The sequence below is a fragment of the Homo sapiens genome, chromosome 12, assembly GCF_000001405.40.
Source record: "Homo sapiens chromosome 12, GRCh38.p14 Primary Assembly".
Taxonomy (NCBI): Eukaryota; Metazoa; Chordata; class Mammalia; order Primates; family Hominidae; genus Homo; species Homo sapiens.
Window position 1 is genome coordinate 3,828,710 of NC_000012.12, and position 19,069 is coordinate 3,847,778.

General features: G+C 39.0%; 1 protein-coding gene and 1 pseudogene across 6 annotated transcripts in view; one reads left to right on the forward strand and one right to left on the reverse strand.

Moving 5' to 3' along the window:
* The window catches only part of PARP11 (poly(ADP-ribose) polymerase family member 11), a 64,539-nt gene that overhangs the window by 19,849 nt on the left and 25,621 nt on the right, over nt 1-19,069 (reverse strand). For 4 of the 6 annotated variants that reach the window (NR_104461.2, XM_047429175.1, NM_020367.6 and 1 more), the window contains exons 2-3: nt 1,181-1,309; nt 201-321 (exon numbers count right to left, since the gene is read on the reverse strand). Coding sequence is in view for 5 of the 6 variants with exons in the window: in XM_047429175.1 (XP_047285131.1) it covers nt 201-321; nt 1,181-1,309 (250 nt within the window). In the remaining variant the exon portion in view is untranslated. The remainder of the gene's footprint in view (nt 1-200; nt 322-1,180; nt 1,310-19,069) is intronic. The other 2 variants (NM_001286521.2, NM_001286522.2) reach the window with 1 other exon arrangement.
* Nucleotides 10,750-17,567, forward strand: OTUD4P1 (OTUD4 pseudogene 1; annotated as a pseudogene).

Consider the following 19,069-nt stretch of genomic DNA (forward strand, 5'->3'; position numbering starts at 1 on the left):
AACATATAAACACACCTTTTATAAAAGGCAATGTTGCTCAAGATTTTAAAACTTGAATTTTTATAGAGGTATTTTTGTATATAACAAAAAAGATATACTTCACTGTTTGCAAATATATCAACTAATCCTGACCTTCAGAGCTGTAGATTTTATCATATCAATATACTAAAAACACACAACTATTAGGGAAAAAAACATACCTGCAAAGTCTATCTTGTAGCTGAATTTGGAAGTAGTAAAAGAAATGGAGCCACAAGGGTTTGTTTTGAAGCTTTTTTCGATATCTTCACTGCTAACTGAACACTGACTGTTGGTATCCGGCTTTAAGACAAACCAGAAAGTTTCATTTACCAGCTGTTCACATTAATGACTTGGCCACAGAGGTGGTACTGTGGTCATAGAGACAGGGAATGGAGGGGCGAGGGAAACTTACTAATCACCTGTTCTAGTTCCCAACACACAGGGAGAATCACAACTAAGCCAGCATATTGAAAATGGTTTAAGGATCTCCAGTGAAGAGACAACTGGTTATAGTCCCCTTCAATAACAGATATATATAGAAATATAGTTATTTTTCCAGATAATTACAATTTTTACAGATTATTCCAATAATTATACTTTCTAAGTGGCTCAAGTTAAATCTTCTTTATATAGTTTAGTAGAGTAAAAAAAAGACTACAGGTTTTGAGTGCGGATTCAAATCTCAGTTTAACTAGCTGTGTGACCCTTGACAAATTATGTCAACTTTTGTGAGTTTCACTTTCCTTGACTGTAAGACAGAATGTTAACATCTGCTTCCAAGTTACTGTGAGGATAAGGGAGAAAATCAATGTACAACACCTAACATAATACCTGGCATACAGAAGTGTTTAATACGGATTTGTTCTTCCCTTTCTCTTTGTCCACCAAACCAAACTTGGAGTTGCTCAGATGTACTGACACCATGCAACTCTCAGTCACATTCACCCTCTATTGTTTCTTCTAAATAAATGAGTGTGAAAACTTGGGGAAAAGAAAAGGAAAAGCACTGGAAGAATTTCTAACTTTTCTTTTAGTTAAACAATTTTATTTCCTTAAGCTTTGACTTCAAGTTCTATATTTATACTCATTTTACATACATCAGCAAGGTGATGCTAAGTGAATCGAAAACACTTCTGCTAAATTAAAGGAAAGGAGGTACCTGAAACATGTGCCACTTCCCACATTCTGCCAAGTAAAACCAGCCCCACTGGGTATCTGACGTGTCCATGTCATCCACTTCATTGTTTGTTGTTTTAGAAAATAATTCTTCTGCTTTGTGAAACATCTCCTGAAAAGCCAGAAGGAGGTGGAGGAAGAAATAATTCTATTAATAACAAGTATACTTTTTACAGATCATTTTACTTCTTTACAAAGAGTGGTATTCAAGTGTCTTTCCTCCCATGACACTTTAAAAACAGCTTTCTATCTTTCATATTGGCTCTGAAGATAAACATTAAAAATGTTGGACATCATTGCTTAACAATTTAGGCAAGTAATAATAATCTTAGGTAGAATATGCCAGTGTCTATTCAACCATTTAAGTAAGCTATATCAACATCAATAAGCACTTCAGGTTTCAGCATAGCCCCAAGCATTTTCAATTTTATCTTATGCTCATGTATTTGGTCAAAAGGACCCATGCTATCACGCTGGTTAAGATCAAATGCATCTAATTTTTATTTTAAACAGTCATTTCATTTAATGGCATAGAAAGATATTTATATGGTGTTGAGTGTAAAAGATTACAAAAAAATAGAAATAGTATAATCCAATTTTAATAAAAATATACTTACTCCTGTGAACGTGCCTGTATCTGTGTAAGTGTATGTAAATGTTTACACACATATATAGAAAAAAGTCTGGATGTATATATAACAATCTACCACCAGTTTTTCTAAGTGTCAGGATACAATAACAATAATAGTAACCTTTATATTACTTACTACGTGCCAGCTACTGTTCTAAGGACTACACAGATGAAAATTCATTTAGGTCTCACAACAACCTAGAGACAGGTACTATCAGTACCCCAAATTTATAAATGAGGAAACTAAGGCATAGAGAGGTCATACAACAAGGAAGTCAAGATTCAAACCCAACATCCTGGCTTCAGGGTCTACGCACTTAGCCGCCGTCATATACTGTCTTATACTTCATTATCAATGATTTCATAATTTTAGCTATACCAATTAACTCACATATGCATTATCTTTGAAAAGTTTTAAACATTCTTGGTTGGGTATTGTAATGAAGAAGTCTCTAGAAAGGAGACAAAGAGGCTGGTCAAAGAAAATTAAACTCAATCTGGAATTTGGCTTCCTGTCCTCATTCTTTGAGGGTTTTTAAATTATTAAGTTTATACAACTACTACATAAAAAATATTCTTCTTGCAAAAAATCAGAACTTTCAAAATAAAGCTAAAGACTTTTTTAACCATCACTTCCATTCCTGGTACCTTCTCACTTTTCTTCTCCAGGGTTAGCCAATGCTATAATTTCACTGCATATCTTTCAGATCTCTCTCTCTCTCTCACTCTGTTTGTGTGTGTATAATTATACACACATAAAAACATATAGAGTTATTGATGATTTGTTAAAAATTTGATTTCCTGTATCATTGATTTTTTTAACAAAGAATATGTACTACTGGGTAATTTAGAAAATATTTGCCTTTTAATTTCATCATTTAAAATGTCCATCCTATTTTTAGAAGCTGTAGCAACCTGGAATAAGTTTCAATTGCCTTGTCTAGGCCACAGTTGGCTCTTCACAAAATGAAAAATGATAGACTCCTTCCTCATTGGGATGTTGTTATAAATGAATGAGACAATGTTATAAATGAACGAGACAAGTTCATTTATAACAGTGCCTGACCTCAATGAAGGGGGTTTGTTATTTTTTATATATGTTTGGAAACTCAAGCAATGCTTTATGATTATTTCCCATTTTTTTCTTCATGTTTTAAATTTGGTTGGCTTCTAAGAAATGAAAAATAGAACACCCTAGGATCAAAGCCTTCTGGTTTAGGACCCACTATTTACCTTATATATTTTAACCACATAATAAAGACAATGATTTAAAGTTTAAGACCAAACTGTCCAGTAAACTATTCACAATTCCTACTGCTTTTTTTTATTAATGTTCATTTCATTGGGCCATTTAACTGTGAGAAAGAGAGAAGGAAAGAAAGTGTGACCTAAATTTAGTTTTTCTTCTGAAAATAACCAGAAAAATTTGGAAGAATGAGATTGGAGCTAATAGTTAAGAAAAATATTTGCCTTACGAGTTCTATCTTTTCTCTATTAGAAAAGAGAATAGAAAATAGGAAAGTTCCCTTTATACAGCATACATATAACATGTGTGCTCCGCTATAAAACACCTTACCTAAGACTTCGCTTTAGGCCAGGTTATAAATGAAAGTGTTTCAGCAACATCCTTTCAGAGCTTTCTGTTATAAATCGCTTTGGGTGGGACAGGTACCATTGTATTGAACATTCCTAAAGCACTTCAAATCTTATACAATTCCTTATCAAATTACACTATTTTTTTCGTCCACAATCCAATGTGCAGGAGAGATAAGTGATTATTTTCCAATTAAAGTCAGGAAAAAAACCGAAGCAGAGAATAATACAATTTTTTGTCTAGATTCACAGCTAGCAGTACAGAGAATATTAAAGCAACACCTAAGGCCTCCTGAACATCACTTCTTCCCCTAAGTTACCAAGCCCCACTGTCTCCTTTTCACACATGGACAGTTATTTCTCCTCTCCTATGTTGCTAACATTTAGTTTAATTGCTTTGCTTCACAGATGCTCTGGGTTTCTTTAAAAAGATGCATTTTATAAGATTAAACATTTCCATTTTCTACAGTAAGTTTTCTCTCCAAAGAAATGACTATTTTGCATAATTATGCTCAAAGAGTTAAGTCAAATTTAAATTAATAACTTTAAAATATCGCAACCATAGTAAGAATGGCTCTAGGCTAGGACACATTTATAGGTAATAAAAAGAATATTCACCAGTTATCGGTTATGAAGCAGGTATTTAATAATGTTAGATGAATGAACTTGTTCAGTCACAATGCCATATCCTGTCTGATTTTCCTGTTTGTAATTAGAAGCAGGCTGGGAAGAAGAAAAAGCTAGTACAAAGCGGCAAAGCATTTTGTAAAGTTTCAAGGGCAATGGGTATGCTGGTAGAGCCTGTCCGTAATGTTATCTGTTACAAAGAGAATCTTTATTTACAGAGCCTGGGAACAGTCAGTCTGAATCATCAAATTGAAAAGCTGTGTGGAAAATGAGTTTAAAGTCAAAATCCTGGTCTATATAAGGAAAATAAGGCTGCCTTCCAGACTGGTTTCAAGTTTTCTGATATAAATTTTAGTTTACTACAACAAAGTATAATTTATTTTGTTAGCATGAGTATAGTATCTTCAGGAAATCATATTTGGTAATAACAACTTCCTTGCCTCTACATATAAAGAAGATCTCAAACCTGATCTTAAAAGCTTAAAAATGAACGAGAACTTCCAGAATGACAGAATAAGGAGCTCAGTGGAACTGGCAAAACTACATTTTAAAAACTAGTAGGCCGGGCGTGGTAGCTCACACCTGTTATCCCAGGGCTTTGGTGAGGCTGAGAAGGGAGGTTTGCATGAGGCCAGGAGTTTGAGGCAAGCCTGGCAACACAGTGAGACTCCATCTCTACAAAAAAATAAAATAAAAATTACTCAGGCATGCTGATGCATGCTTATAGTCCTAGCCCCTTGAGAGGCTGAGATGGAAGGATTACTTGAGCCTAGGAGTTTGAGGCTGCAGTGAGCTAACATCACGCCACTGCACTCCAGCTTGACACGGCAGAACCCTGCCTCACAAAAATTAATTAATTAAAAATTAAAAACTGCTGAAAATTTTTTTAAAAAACAAACATTTAAAGTCTCTGGAAACTGTACTAAGGGCATACAAAAAGTGGAGAAACATTCATTCAAGAAAATGTACTCAATCTCAGAACAAGTCAGAGTCTGTGGCGTTTGAGTTACAAACTGCACCATTCCCCACATCCTACCAGGTCTGTATTATGAAGCCTCTACCTGCGGTATATGTACCCAAAAGACAGGCAGAGGGCTCCCTCTCCCTCAGGCTTCCAGTCTGTGGCTAGTTTTACCCCGGGAAGGGCAGGCTGCTGGTGTTTCTCCTCTCCTTCAGCCCAGAGGTGTAGAAGCTCTGTTCTGGAGAGGTGACACAGAGGACCCGTCTCTCTTTCCCTACACAGCCCCCATTCAAAAGGTAGAATTTCTATTCCAGGTACAGCAGGCTGCAAATACTGGGCCCTGACTGCCACCGCCCCAACTTCCTCCCAGAGTAGAGGTTTTGTGCCAGGAGCAGTCAGCTAAGAAGACCAAGGGCTGCTACCAGCACTCCACTGCCCACTCTAAGAATGGAGTGTTACTCTGGGGAAAAAAGACTCTCACCTTCAGCCCCAGGAGCAGTGGCATGGAGACTTTGCTCAGGGGTAAAGACGAGCCATAAGGACAAAGAGCTCTACATTTCCATCTGAGAGGACTGACTTTATTTGGAACAGAGAGCAGAACCCCATGCCTAAGGGCATTATCAAAAACAGTGGGCCGGGTGTGGTGGTTCATGCCTGTGATCCCAGCACTTTGGGAGGCCAAGATGGGCAGATCACCTGAGGCCAGGAGTTTGAGACCAGCCTGGCCAACATGGTGAAACCCCAACTCTACAAAAAATACAAAACATTAGCCAGGTGTGGTGGCGTGCACCTGTAGTTCCAGCTACTCAGGAGGCCGAGAGAAGAGAACTGATTGAACCCAGGAGGCAAAGGTTTCAGTGAGCCAAGATCACACCATTGCACTCCAGCCTGGGCGACAAGAGCGACACTCCATCTCAAAAAAAAAAAAAAAAAGAAAGAAAGAAAACAGTGGAAATATTAATGAAAAACAATTAAGAAAGGCTAGGAGCTCCAATATAAGCAGAAAGGCAGAGCAAGCAGAAGTTTAATGCAGAGAACCAGAGACAGCCAAGAAGAGCCCTCTTAGATCAGAGAGGAGTCAGAAAGGCAGTATAAAAACACTAGGCTGTGTACACCCAGGAATGATCAGGGCAGAACGTGGGGCAGTCTTGAAAACGTTCTCTAAGCTATACACGTACCCACTGACAGAGCGGAGAAACTTCATTGGCACAAGGGTCTGAATCACCACCTCTGGCCAAACACGACGTAACAGAAGCTACTCTGACCCAGGGGTAATTCCTATGAAGCCAGGGTTAAATGAAACAGCACTGTCATCCCTGACAGTCTGGAACACTGTGTACATGCTCAAGGTTGGGCCCTCTCAGGAACTAACTTCCAAGCTTCTAGCACCTGGCTAAATGCAGGACAAAAAAAAATGTAAACTCCCTGAACTATAATAGCAGCCACCAAGCCACACACACATTTAACACTTAAGGGTAAAAATCTACCTACCTCAGGGAATGTAAGCACAACCTGTGACCAGTACATAGTCTATGCCAATCCAGAAATGCCACATAAGTAGTCAGGTTAAGAGGGGAAAAGTCTGAGCTGGGATATCAGAAGCTACACACTGTGAGGAAAATGGACTTTACAGAATTTGTTCAGCTATATCACTGTTATATACACATAAACCAATAACCAAACAAACAACCACAATAGGGATCAGTATCCAGAGTTGCTATGTTACTTAAAATATCCAGTTCTCAACAAAAAAATTATGAGACATAAAAAAACTTCATAAAGATGTGATCAATACACATAGAAAACCAAAAGAAGCTGCCTCTAGATGAGGCACAGGTGGTAGACTGGGCAAACAAACACTTCAAAGCAATTATTACAAATATGCTCAAAGACATAAATGAAACTTTGCTTAACAGGTTAAGGGAAATTATGATGACAATGTCTCATCAAATAAATAATATCAATAAAGAGAGAAATAATTTAAGATAATCAAATGGAAATTCTGGAGTTGAAAAGTATAGTAAGTAAAATGAAACACTCTAGAAAGGCTCAGTGGTAGATTTGTGAACAAGAAAATATCAGCAAACTTGAACATAAATTAATAGACATTATGTAACAGATGAAATGCAAGAAAGGAAAGAAAAAATTGCAGAAAAATAAACAGAGCATTAGAGAAATGTGGGATACCATTAAGTGCACCAACATATAAATAACTACAGTATCAGAAGCGGAGGAGAGAGAAAAAGGCACAGGAAAAACTTTAAAGAAAGTAAAACTATCCAAATTTGTAAATTTTATATATATATACACACACACATATATATATATACACACACTCACACACATATATATGTGTGTGTATAGATATAAATCTACACATCCAAGAAGCTCAATAAATTCCAAAAGGGAAAAACACAGAGATCCAAATGCAGACACATCAAAGTCAAAATTTCGAAAGCCAAAGACAAACAGAAAATCTTAAAATCAGCAAGAGAAAAACAACTGATCACATATAAGAGAATCCTAATGAGATTAACAGCTGACTTTTCTCATCAGAAACCCTAGAGGCCAAAAGTTAGGAGACATCATTCTCAAAATACATAAAGTAAAAAACAAACAAAAAAAAAGCGCCTATCAACCAAGAATCTTATACTAGCAAAACTATCTTTCAAAAATGAAGGTGAAATAAAGATATTGCCACAATTACAAAAACTGAGAGAATTCACTGCTAGCAAACTTGCTTTACAAGAAATAATAAAGGAAGTTTATCAGGCTGAAATGATACTAGGCATTCGTAATAATCCATGGGGGATAAAAAAGAAAAGAGCGCTGGTAAAAGGTATAATTGCTGATTTCTCCTTTCCTCTCTTGACTGATTTACAAGTAACTACATAAACCAATACATGAACTGCCAGTTCCAAGATGGTGGCACAGAAGAAAGCTGGCTTTGCTCCCTGCCCCCACAGAAAACCAAAAACAAATACACAGCACCAAGATTATCGCCAGCAATATCCCAGAATGCAAATATTATGTAGGGAGAGACAGTTCCCAGGGACACAGAGGAATGAAAAAACTCTGAGCAGACAGTAACGGAATTGGATTTCCTCACCCACGATGCCTCACCACAAAATCAGCCCAGCATCAAGCATACAGAAAACTTTCCCCTGATTCATGATTTCTACACTGGAAAAAGTGAGATTAAGGTGGCCAACCAGCTTTCCCACCATCTTGGGTTCCCTGACAGAAGACCTGTCCCTACCTCAATCTACAGGAAGCACTGGGAGTACCTGAAGGGAGAACTATCCCTGAAAACAGCCAGAGACAAAGGAGTCAAGTAGGACTACAATCCCTAACCCTGGAAACTGCTCTGTAACTCAATCAAAGGAGACGACACCAAATCAGAGTGGCTATTCAGCAACACCACATTGTAGGAGCTTCACTCCACAGGTTTCCCAGGCACAAACTCCAAGTCAGCCTTCCCGCACTGCCAGGATAACCTCTCTGGTACCTCTCCCACTCAGCATGGGCAGTGTCCTAATTATTTACTAGAGCTGAGAAAAACCTGAGCGTAAGGCACCATCTAGTGCTTAAAAGGAGGCAGGCCTAGTGGGTAAAAAAAGATACTCAACAGCTAAATTACAAAGATCTCTAATCTCTCTATAGTACAACTTGTTGAATCTACAAGATGTGTTTGTAAGTCTTGCGGTAACCATAATGCAAAAACCTATAATAGACCCACTAAAAATAAAAACTAATGAGTTAAAACATACGACCAGAGAAAATCACTTAACCAGAAAGGAAGATGTAAGAAAGGAAGAGAGCAGTTACAAAACAACCAGAAAATAAGCAACAAAATGAACTAGTAAGGACGACTTTATAAATAATAACCCTGAATGCAAATGGACTCGCTTCTCGAATTAAAGAGCACAGAGTGGCTGAATGGCGAAGAAAAAAAAAAACCAAGATCCAAATATATACTACCTACAAGAAACCGACCTCACCTATAAAGACACACATGAGGATGAAAGTGAAGGCATAAAGATGTTCCACGCAATTGGAAAACAAAGAAGAGCAAAGAGTAGCTATATTTATAAAGAGATAAAATAGACTATGAACAAGTCCTGTAAAAAGAGATAAAGAAGGTCAATAAATAATGATAATGGGGTCAACGAAGCAAGTGGACATAATTATAAATATCTATGCACTCAACACCCAAGATCTTAAGTATATAAAACAAACATTAATAGACTTAAAGTGAGGGGTAGACTGCAATACAGCAAAAGTAAGAAACTTAAAAAAATAATAAAAAGGGACTTCCAGCCAGAAAATCAACAACAACAACAACAAAAACAAAAAACACATCAGATTTAAACTACATACTAGATCAAATAGGCCTGTCATTTACAGAACATTTCACTCAATTGCTGGAGAATACACATTCTTTTCATCAACACATGAAATATTCTTCAGAATAGGCCATATCTTAGGCCACAAAAAGTCTCAACAATTTCAAAAAAGCAGAAATCGTATCACTTATCTTTTCTGACCACAATGAAACTAGAAACCAAAGAAAGGAGGAACTTTGGAAACTACACAAAAACATGGAAATTAAACAACATGCTCCAAAATGACCAACTAGCCAATGAAGAAATTAAGAAGGAAATTTAAAATCTCTTAAAGCAAATGAAAGTGGAGATACAAAATACCAAAATCTATGGGATACAACAAAAGCAGTACTAAAAGAGAAGTTTATAGCAATAAACAGCTGTATCAAAAAAGTACACTTCTAAAAAAAGAAAACAACAATCTAACAATGCAGACCTTAAGGAACTAGAAAAGCAAAAATAAACCAAATCCAAAATTAACAGAAGGAAATAATAAATACCAGAGCATAAATAAATAAAATTGAGACTTAAAAAGCAATATAAAAGATCAATGGTGCAAAAAGCCACATTTTTCAAAAGATAAACAAAAATGGACAATTCTTAGTCTTAGCAAGGCTAAGAAAAAAAGAGAAGATCCAGGGGGAGCCCCCACCCGCTCCCCGCCCCTCCGGCGCCCTCCAGCGTGGTGGGGAAACGAAAGGCCGCGTCTTTCTTTTTTGGTTTCCTCGGCTCCCGGCGTGGGGAGCGCGCGGGGGACGCAGGCCCCGCTTCACCTGAGCCGGCCCGGCGTGCGCGCCTGGGGCGGGGCTTTTCTCGCTTCACACCGGTACAGACGAGGAAACTTGTGGGGGCGGCGACCCCCGGCCTGGGTCCTGAGTCGGGCAGCGAGGCCGTCGGGAAGTGACTACTCACTCTCGGGGTTTTCCTTAATCCCGCTCCCCCCGTTTGTCGTGGGCGCGTGTTCGCTCCGAGGAGGCGGCCGCGTACGGACAGCCATGCATTAGGCAGGGCTCCCCTACGCGCCCGGAGAGCGCGGACCGCTGCCTCGGGCCGCCGCCGCCGCCTGCCGCCTGCCGCCGCTCGCGGAGCCCGAGCCCCAGCCCGAGCCGCCGCCTACCCCAGGCCGGGGCGTCGAGCAGCCGGCGGCCTGGCCATGTGGGGCTAGCCCTCGCGCCTGGCCTGCAGCAGGACCAGCAACATGGAGGCGGCCGTCGGCGTCCCCGACGGCGAGGACCAGGGCGGCGCGGGGCCCCGCGAGGACGCGACGCCCATGGACGCCTATCTGCGGAAACTGGGCTTGTATCGGAAACTGGTCGCCAAGGACGGGTCGTGCCTGTTCCGGGCCGTGGCGGAGCAGGTATTGCACTCTCAGTCTCGCCATGTTGAAGTCAGAATGGCCTGTATTCACTGTCTTCGAGAGAACAGAGAGAAATTTGAAGCGATTATAGGAGGATCATTTGAAGGATATTTAAAGCGCTTGGAAAATCCACAGGAATGGGTAGGACAAATGGAAATAAGTGCCCTTTCTCTTATGTACAGGAAAGATTTTATAACTAATCTGGAACCTAATGTTTCTCCTTCACAAGTAACTGAAAATAATTTTCCTGAAAAGGTGTTACTGTGTTTTTCAAATGGAAATCATTATGATATTGTGTATCCCGTAAAGTATAAAGAAAGCTCTGCTATGTGTCAGTCTCTCCTTTATGAATTGCTGTATGAGAAGGTATTTAAAACTGATGTTAGTAAAATTGTGATGGAACTAGACACGTTGGAAGTAGCTGATGAAGACAACAGTGAAATATCAGATTCAGAGGATGACAGCTGCAAGAGTAAAACTGCTGTTGCTGCTGCTGATGTGAATGGATTTAAACCTTTGTCAGGCAACGAGCAGCTGAAGAACAATGGGAACTCTACTAGCCTGCCTTTGGCTAGAAAGGTTCTTAAGTCACTCAATCCTGCAGTCTATAGAAATGTGGAATATGAAATTTGGCTGGAGTCTAAACAAGCTCAGCAAAAACGTGATTATTCCATTGCTGCTGGCTTACAATATGAAGTTGGAGACAAATGTCAAGTTAGGTTGGATCACAATGGAAAATTTTTGAATGCAGACGTTCAAGGAGTTCATTCTGAGAATGGACCAGTTTTGGTTGAAGAACTGGGAAAGTACACATCAAAGAACCTCAAGGCACCTCCCCCAGAAAGCTGGAACACAGTGTCAGGGAAGAAGATGAAAAAACCTTCCACTTCTGGACAAAATTTCCATTCTGATATGGATTACAGAGGGCCAAAGAATCCAAGCAAGCCAATAAAAGCCCCATTAGCACTACCTCCTCGACTGCAGCATCCTTCAGGAGTAAGACAACGTGAGTTCTCTAGTCATTCTTCAGGGTCACAGTCTCAGAAATTCTCCAGTGAGCACAAAAATCTTAGCCGGACACCTTCACAGATCATAAGAAAACCTGATCGTGAAAGAGTTGAGGATTCTGATCACACAAGTCGAGAATCTAACTATTGCTACTTCTCAGAGTAGCAATCCATGTGTCCAGAGAAAATCATCACACGTAAGTGATAGAAAAGGAAGCAGGCGGAGAATGGATACAGAAGAACGAAAAGACAAAGACTCTATTCATGGACATAGTTGGATAAAAGACCCGAACCAAGCATATTGGAGAATATTACTGATGATAAATATGCAACAGTTTCATCACCATCAAAGTCAAAGAAGTTAGAGTGCCCTTCTCCTGCAGAACAAAAGCCAGCAGAACATGTGTCTTTGTCAAATCCAGCTCCCCTTCTAGTTTCTCCAGAGGTACATCTAACTCCTGCAGTGCCTTCTTTACCAGCCACTGTGCCAGCCTGGCCAAGTGAACCTACAACTTTTGGACCAACAGGTGTCCCTGCTCCAATTCCTGGTCGGTCAGTGACACAGACTTTGACCCCTGGACCTGATTCTGCTGTATCCCAAACTCATTTAACACCCTCTCCAGTTCCTGTGTCAATACAGGCAGTTAACCAGCCCTTGATGCCTTTGCCTCAGACATTGAGCCTTTATCAAGACCCACTCTATCCTGGGTTTCCTTGTAATGAAAAGGGAGATCGAGCCATTGTACCACCTTCTTCACTGTGTCAGACTGGGGAGGACCTACCTAAAGATAAGAATATTCTTCGATTCTTCTTCAATCTTGGTGTGAAGGCATACAGTTGTCCTGTGTGGGCCCCACATTCTTACCTGTACCCTCTGCACCAGGCCTACCTGGCAGCCTGCAGGATGTACCCAAAGGTCCCTGTCCCTGTTTATCTTCATAATCCCTGGTTCAAAGAGGCTCCTGCCGCCCAGAATTAAAGTGATTGTACCTGTACTGATGCCCACTTTCCTATGCAGACTGAGGCTAGTGTTAATGGTCAAATGCTACAGCCAGTGATTGGACCGCCGACATTTTCTTCACCTCTGGTTATCCCTCCATCTCAGGTGTCTGAAAGTCACGGACAATTGTCTTACCAGGCTGATCTTGAATCTGAGACCCCTGGGCAGCTTCTGCATGCTGATTATGAAGAGTCACTGAGTGGCAAGAATATGTTCCCCCAGCCATCTTTTGGACCCAATCCATTCTTAGGCCCAGTTCCTATTGCACCTCCTTTCTTTCCTCATGTTTGGCATGGGTACCCTTTTCAGGGATTCATAGAAAATCCAGTAATGAGGCAGAATATTGTCCTGCCCTCTGATGAGAAAGGAGAATTGGATCTGTCTCTGGAAAATCTGGATCTGTCTAAAGATTGTGGTTCAGTTTCCACAGTAGATGAGTTTCCAGCAGCCAGGAGTGAACATGTACATTCTCTCCCTGAAGCAAGTGTGAGCAGTAAGCCAGACGAAGGCCGGACAGAGCAATCTTCCCAGACACGAAAGGCAGATATGGCATTGGCTTCCATCCCTCCTGTAGCAGAGGGAAAGGCTCACCCTCCCACTCAGATTCTAAACAGAGAGAGAGAGAAATTGTGCCTGTTGAACTTGAACCTAAAAGGACCATTCAAAGTCTGAAAGAAAAAACAGAAAAAGTAAAAGATCCTAAGACTGCTGCTGATGTGGTCAGCCCTGGGGCCAACTCTGTGGATAGCAGAGTGCAAAGACCAAAAGAAGAGAGTTCAGAAAATGAAAATGAAGTGTCATATTTTGAGAAGTGGTAGATCCAAGCAGTTCTATAATCAAACTTATGGGAGCAGGAAGTACAAAAGTGATTGGGGCTATTCTGGTAGGGGCGGATATCAACATGTGAGAAGTGAGGAGTCCTGGAAAGGACAGCCAAGCAGAAGTCGGGATGAAGGTTATCAGTACCATCGAAATGTCAGAGGGCGACCATTTAGGGGAGATAGGAGGAGATCAGGGATGGGAGATGGCCATAGGGGACAGCACGCTTGACGGTTGTTGCCGAAGTATTTTCTAACAGAAACTCTTAGGTGGAATGTTTCTGAAGGCTTTAAAAAACTACAATAAAGTAAAAACCCCAGTTGGAACTCTTTCCTCTCCCCAGCCTCCTTACCTTCCCTCCCATACTCGACAAGACATTGTGGACATGAGTTCAAGGGGGCAGGTTAATTCCTGGCATTGCCGGTTTTCTTCATTCAGAATCTGTTTATCTATCAAGTGACTGTCCTCGTAAAAAGCAGATGTTTGTTAAAGTATTTTTATAAGCAGCTTAATATAAAACATTATAGATTTAGTGTTTGGCTTTTTCCTTATAAGTTTATAAGTCTGATTTCAAATGTTGGAAATGTGTGCTTTATAGTGCTTACTAAAGTGACAAGAAAATACACCATTTGACACACTATAGATTCCAAACATAACGTTGCACCAAATAGAAATGTCTATTTTATTATGCAATGCCTTAGTCATAAACTGGGCTCAGACAATTCTCAGCCTAAAACACTGTTGTCTTTTAAAATGCTTCCAACCCAAAGGCCTTTCATCTCGATATCTGTCAAACTTGAATAATGTCTTCTCTTTAATATTCACATAAGGCAGCCTATTAACTGTGTCTTAGCAATGTTGTATATAGTTCTTTTAATATTCATAAGGTATATTTTTGAATTTTGGTATTTGTTGAGATTGCACAGAAGTATAGTAGGAAATCCAATGAAATGGCTGTTTCCACCAAGAATTCTTAGCACTGGTGTAAATATCATGGTGCCTACTCGAAAGAAATGTAGATGCTACGCATTTTGAAAATAATCTGCATCAGTCAGAACTGCAGAAGTTTTCTAAATGCCACTTTAACACTAATGCACTGACAGATTCTAAATATTTTGTGAGAAGAAATGTTAAAAATTTTTAGCTTGACAGGTTTCTAGAGTTACTGTGTGTGTATTTTTTTTCCCCTTGCACCATTGGTTATGTATCACTTTCACTTTACACTTGCATGTTCTCCTTGTCAGGGCTGGAACTATCGTATAGAAGATAATATGATTGTGACTTCTAGTTCTTTTCTAGAGGATGCTGCTAGAAAATGGTTTTGCTTTGTATTTTATAGCTTGTTACCCTTAGGTAGGTAACATCTTCCATTCTGCTTTCTTCCAGTCTTTGCAGTATTCACTAGAGGTTCCCTTTGCATGTTGTACTCTGTCCTCATTTGGAGATTGAACTCTGAATTAACACAGTATTCATTCATCTGTGTTATTTTGTAAAAATAACTGTAGCTTATATTCCTTATTTGTACATACCAATGTGAAAATCCACTCTTTTATTATGTTGAGATTATCTTCTGATCAGGAAGTTTGAGTGCTATGCAAATAACATAGTAGTAATTTCTCTTTGCATACCATGTGTAATACACCTAGCCAAAACCAGATGCGGTGACTTTCTTTTTTTGTAAAGCAAATTACTTAAGAAAATACAATTCACTTGAATTTGACAAACTGAAACAGATGAGTTTTCTGGGTTCTCTGATAACCTATGGGAATGTTTGGATGCCAGCTGGGCTCAGTGAATCGCCACTGTACTGTAATAATGGTTATTTACCTCTGTGCTGTTTTAATTACCTAACGTCCGTGTAACTGCTGATTTGAGTAGTGATTAGCATTTAGATAATGTAACAGGATTTTAGAGAGCACTTTGAAAGATAACATTTTATTATGATGGTGCTAGGTAAAAAATTGTAAAGACTGGGATGGTTGTGTGGAAAACATTTTTTGAGAGAATCTATTGAAAGGAATTTGTTGTCACCTTCTAAACTAGAATAGTTGTTGAAGGTACCGCTTAAGCCATTTCTTTCTTAACACTGGTGGCTCAGTTAAGGAATGAGAAGATAGAGGGTCCTCCACTTTCAGCTTATGCTTTTTTTTGTAGGACTAGCTTACCTGATTTTAATGAAAATCACATTTTGATAGAAACACCAGATTTGAAAGTTCAATGTGTTTGATCTCAGGAGTCCAAAATAAGTTGTTGCTGCATTTTATTGACTGGGGTTTTATCTCAGCTTCTGAAAATGTTTAAAAATTGGAAGGAAATACTATTCATATCTTCATTGTCACTTTGTCTTACCTCAATTGAGTAACAGAATATATAGCTCCTGAAGGAAACACTGATTTGCTTTCTGTTTCCCATATCTCACCTCTAGGATATGATGGAAGAAGTGCTTGAAAGAGAATTTTAGCAGATGGTACTTTTCTCAGTGACCTCCGGAATAAAAGAACTGACTTTTGATAGTTTTAAAATTAATCTTTGCATGAAGGTTGGTTTCGCTTTTATCCTTTAAGTTTGTTTTTAAATGTATTAATTAGTCCACGGGATTTTGCCTTATGCTGAGGTCAAACTAAGGCTAAGCAAGCTTTTGTCCTTCATTTTAACTGTTTATGTCATACTGTATGTTGACATATTTCTTTATAAGAGAATAGAGGCAAAAGTATAGAACTGAGGATCATTTGCATTTTTGAGTTGGAAATTATGAAACTTCACCATATTATGATCATACATATTTTGAAGAACAGACTGACCAAAGCTCACCTGTTTTTTGTGTTAGGTGCTTTGGCTGAACTTTATTCCAGCCCCCTTTTCCCTTTGGTGTTGTGTATGTCTCTTCATTTCCTCTCAAATAAATCTTCAACTCTTGCCCCATGTCTCCTTGGCAGCAGGATGCTGGCATCTGTGTAGTCCTCATACTGTTTACTGATAACCCACAAATTCATTTTCATGGCAGACCTAAGCTCAGACCCTGCCTTGTCCTGGCAAGAGTAGGTTTCCCAGACCACAATGCCGATATATCTTATTTAATGCAGACTGTATTCTTGCAGTGTGTTGTTTCCTTTGTGACTCAAGGTTGAATTAAAATGCCTGTGAACTGCAAACTTGCTTATGATTGACTTGGTGCAATAAAGTTCCTTTCTAACCATTTCTGGTTTAGAAAACATTCAGCCATCCTAGAAACTAGCAATATTTATTTTGGCCTCTTTTGTTTTACCCTTCATTTTTAGATGAGGTAAATGTTTTGTCTTTTACTTAAGGATACTAAGCAAGGTCCACTCTAGTGTAGCTGAAGAGAATACGTATTTGGCTACACTATTTCTGTGTACTGTGTTTTGCTTCCTACTTTATGTCTAAATGCTATTGTTTTTGTTTAGAATCCTAATAATGTCTCATTTCCAATATGTTATTTTCAAATAACTAAGGTTTTGCTACTAGTGTCAGCCATTTACTCTCCCACTAATTGGGATTATTTTTTAAAAGAGGTCTTTCTCCCCGAAATACAAGTTTTAGAAAATCTTAGAAGAGGAGTGGGTGCATGTCTTAATGCTGGGAAGCAGCAACTTTGGGGTTGAACTTACTTGAATGGATTAAAAATTGCATTGTGTTACAGAGCTGAAAATTTTGTGTATGAAAAACGATAATAGCCTTACACTGAGTACAAATAATACTTTAAGAGCATGTGAAGATGTGATCATTTGTGATGTTACTTGTAAAAAAAGTATATATACGTATCTTTTGAAGTGTTAAAAGGAAACTAGTACTTTATATTCTTTATCATATCACTTTTTGTAAGTGTTGAATATATTCCTGTTTATTTTTCTATGTTCTGTTTTGTAGCCTTAAGAAGTGTTTCAAACATATCTGAATGTATAAAATAAGAGTAAATGCCCTACATGGTGTGATGCTGCATTATATATAAAACTGTGTGCATATATTTAAAAAAAAAAAGAAAAACAGAGAACATCCAAATAAAATCAGAAATGAAAAAGGTGACAACTGAGACCACAAGAAATACAAAGAATTATTAGAGACTATTATGGACAACATGCCAACAAATTGGAAAACTTAGAAGAAATGGATAAATTCCTGGACATATAGAATCTACTATGATTAAATCATAAAGAAATAGAAAACTTGGATTGGGCGCAGTAGCTCATGCCTGTAATCCCAGCACTTTGGGAGGCCAAGGTGGGTGGATCGTGAGGTCAGGAGATCGAGACCATCCTGGCTAACACGGTGAAACCCCGTCTCTACTAAAAATACAAAAAAATTAGCCAGGTGTGGTGGCAGGCGCCTGTAGTCCCAGCTACTCGGGAGGCTGAATCAGGAAAATGGCGTGAACCCAGGAGGCAGAGCTTGCAGTGAGCCAAGATTGCGCCACTGCACTCCAGCCTGGGCAACAGAGCGAGACTCCGTCTTAAAAAAAAAAAAAAAGAAAAGAAAAAAGAAATAGAAAACTTGAATAGGATGGGTGCAGTGGCTCATGCCTATAATCCCAGCACTTTGGGAGGCTGAGGTAGGAGGATCATTTATGGCCAGGAGTTCAAGACCAGTCTAGGCAACATAGCAAAACTCTGTCTCTGCACAAAATTTAAAAATTAGCTGGGCACGTGCCTGTGGTCCCAAATACTTGGGAGGCTGAGGTGGGAGTATCACCTGAGCTCTGGCAGTTAAAGCTACAGTGAGCTATGACTGCACCACTGCACTCCAGCCTGGTCAACAGAGAGAGATCCTGTAGGAAGAAAGAAAAAGAAAACAGAAGAAGAGAAAGAAAAGAAGAGGAAAAATAAAGAAAATTAAACCTAAGCAAACCAACAATAAGTAACAAGATTGAAGCTGTAATTATGTCTCCCATCAAAGAAAAGCTCAGGACCTGATGGCTTCACTGCTGAATTCTACCAAACATTTAAAGAACTAATGCTAATTCTACTTAAACTCTTCAAAAAAATTGAAAAGGAGGAAATACTTCAAACTCAATTCTACGAGACAGCATTATCCTGATATCAAAACCCAATAAGGACACAACAAACAAAGAAAACCATAGGCCAATATCACCCATGTACATAGATGCAAAAATCCTCAATAAAATACTAGAAAACTGAATTCAACAACACATTAAAAAAATCATTCACCATGATCAAGTGGGATTCACATCCCAAGGATGCAAGGATGGTTCAACATATGCAAATCAATCAACATGACAGATCACAACAACAGAGAACCAAGAAGAAAAACCATATAATCATTTTAATAGATGCTTTAAAAGCATTTGATAAAATTCAACATCTTCTTATAATAAAAACCCTCAACAAACTGGATATAGAAGAAACGTATCTCAAAATAATAAAGGCCAGATGACAAACCCACAGCTAGTATCACACTAAATGGGAAAAAATTAAAAGCCTTTCTTCTAAGATCTTGAACAAGACAAAGATGTCCAG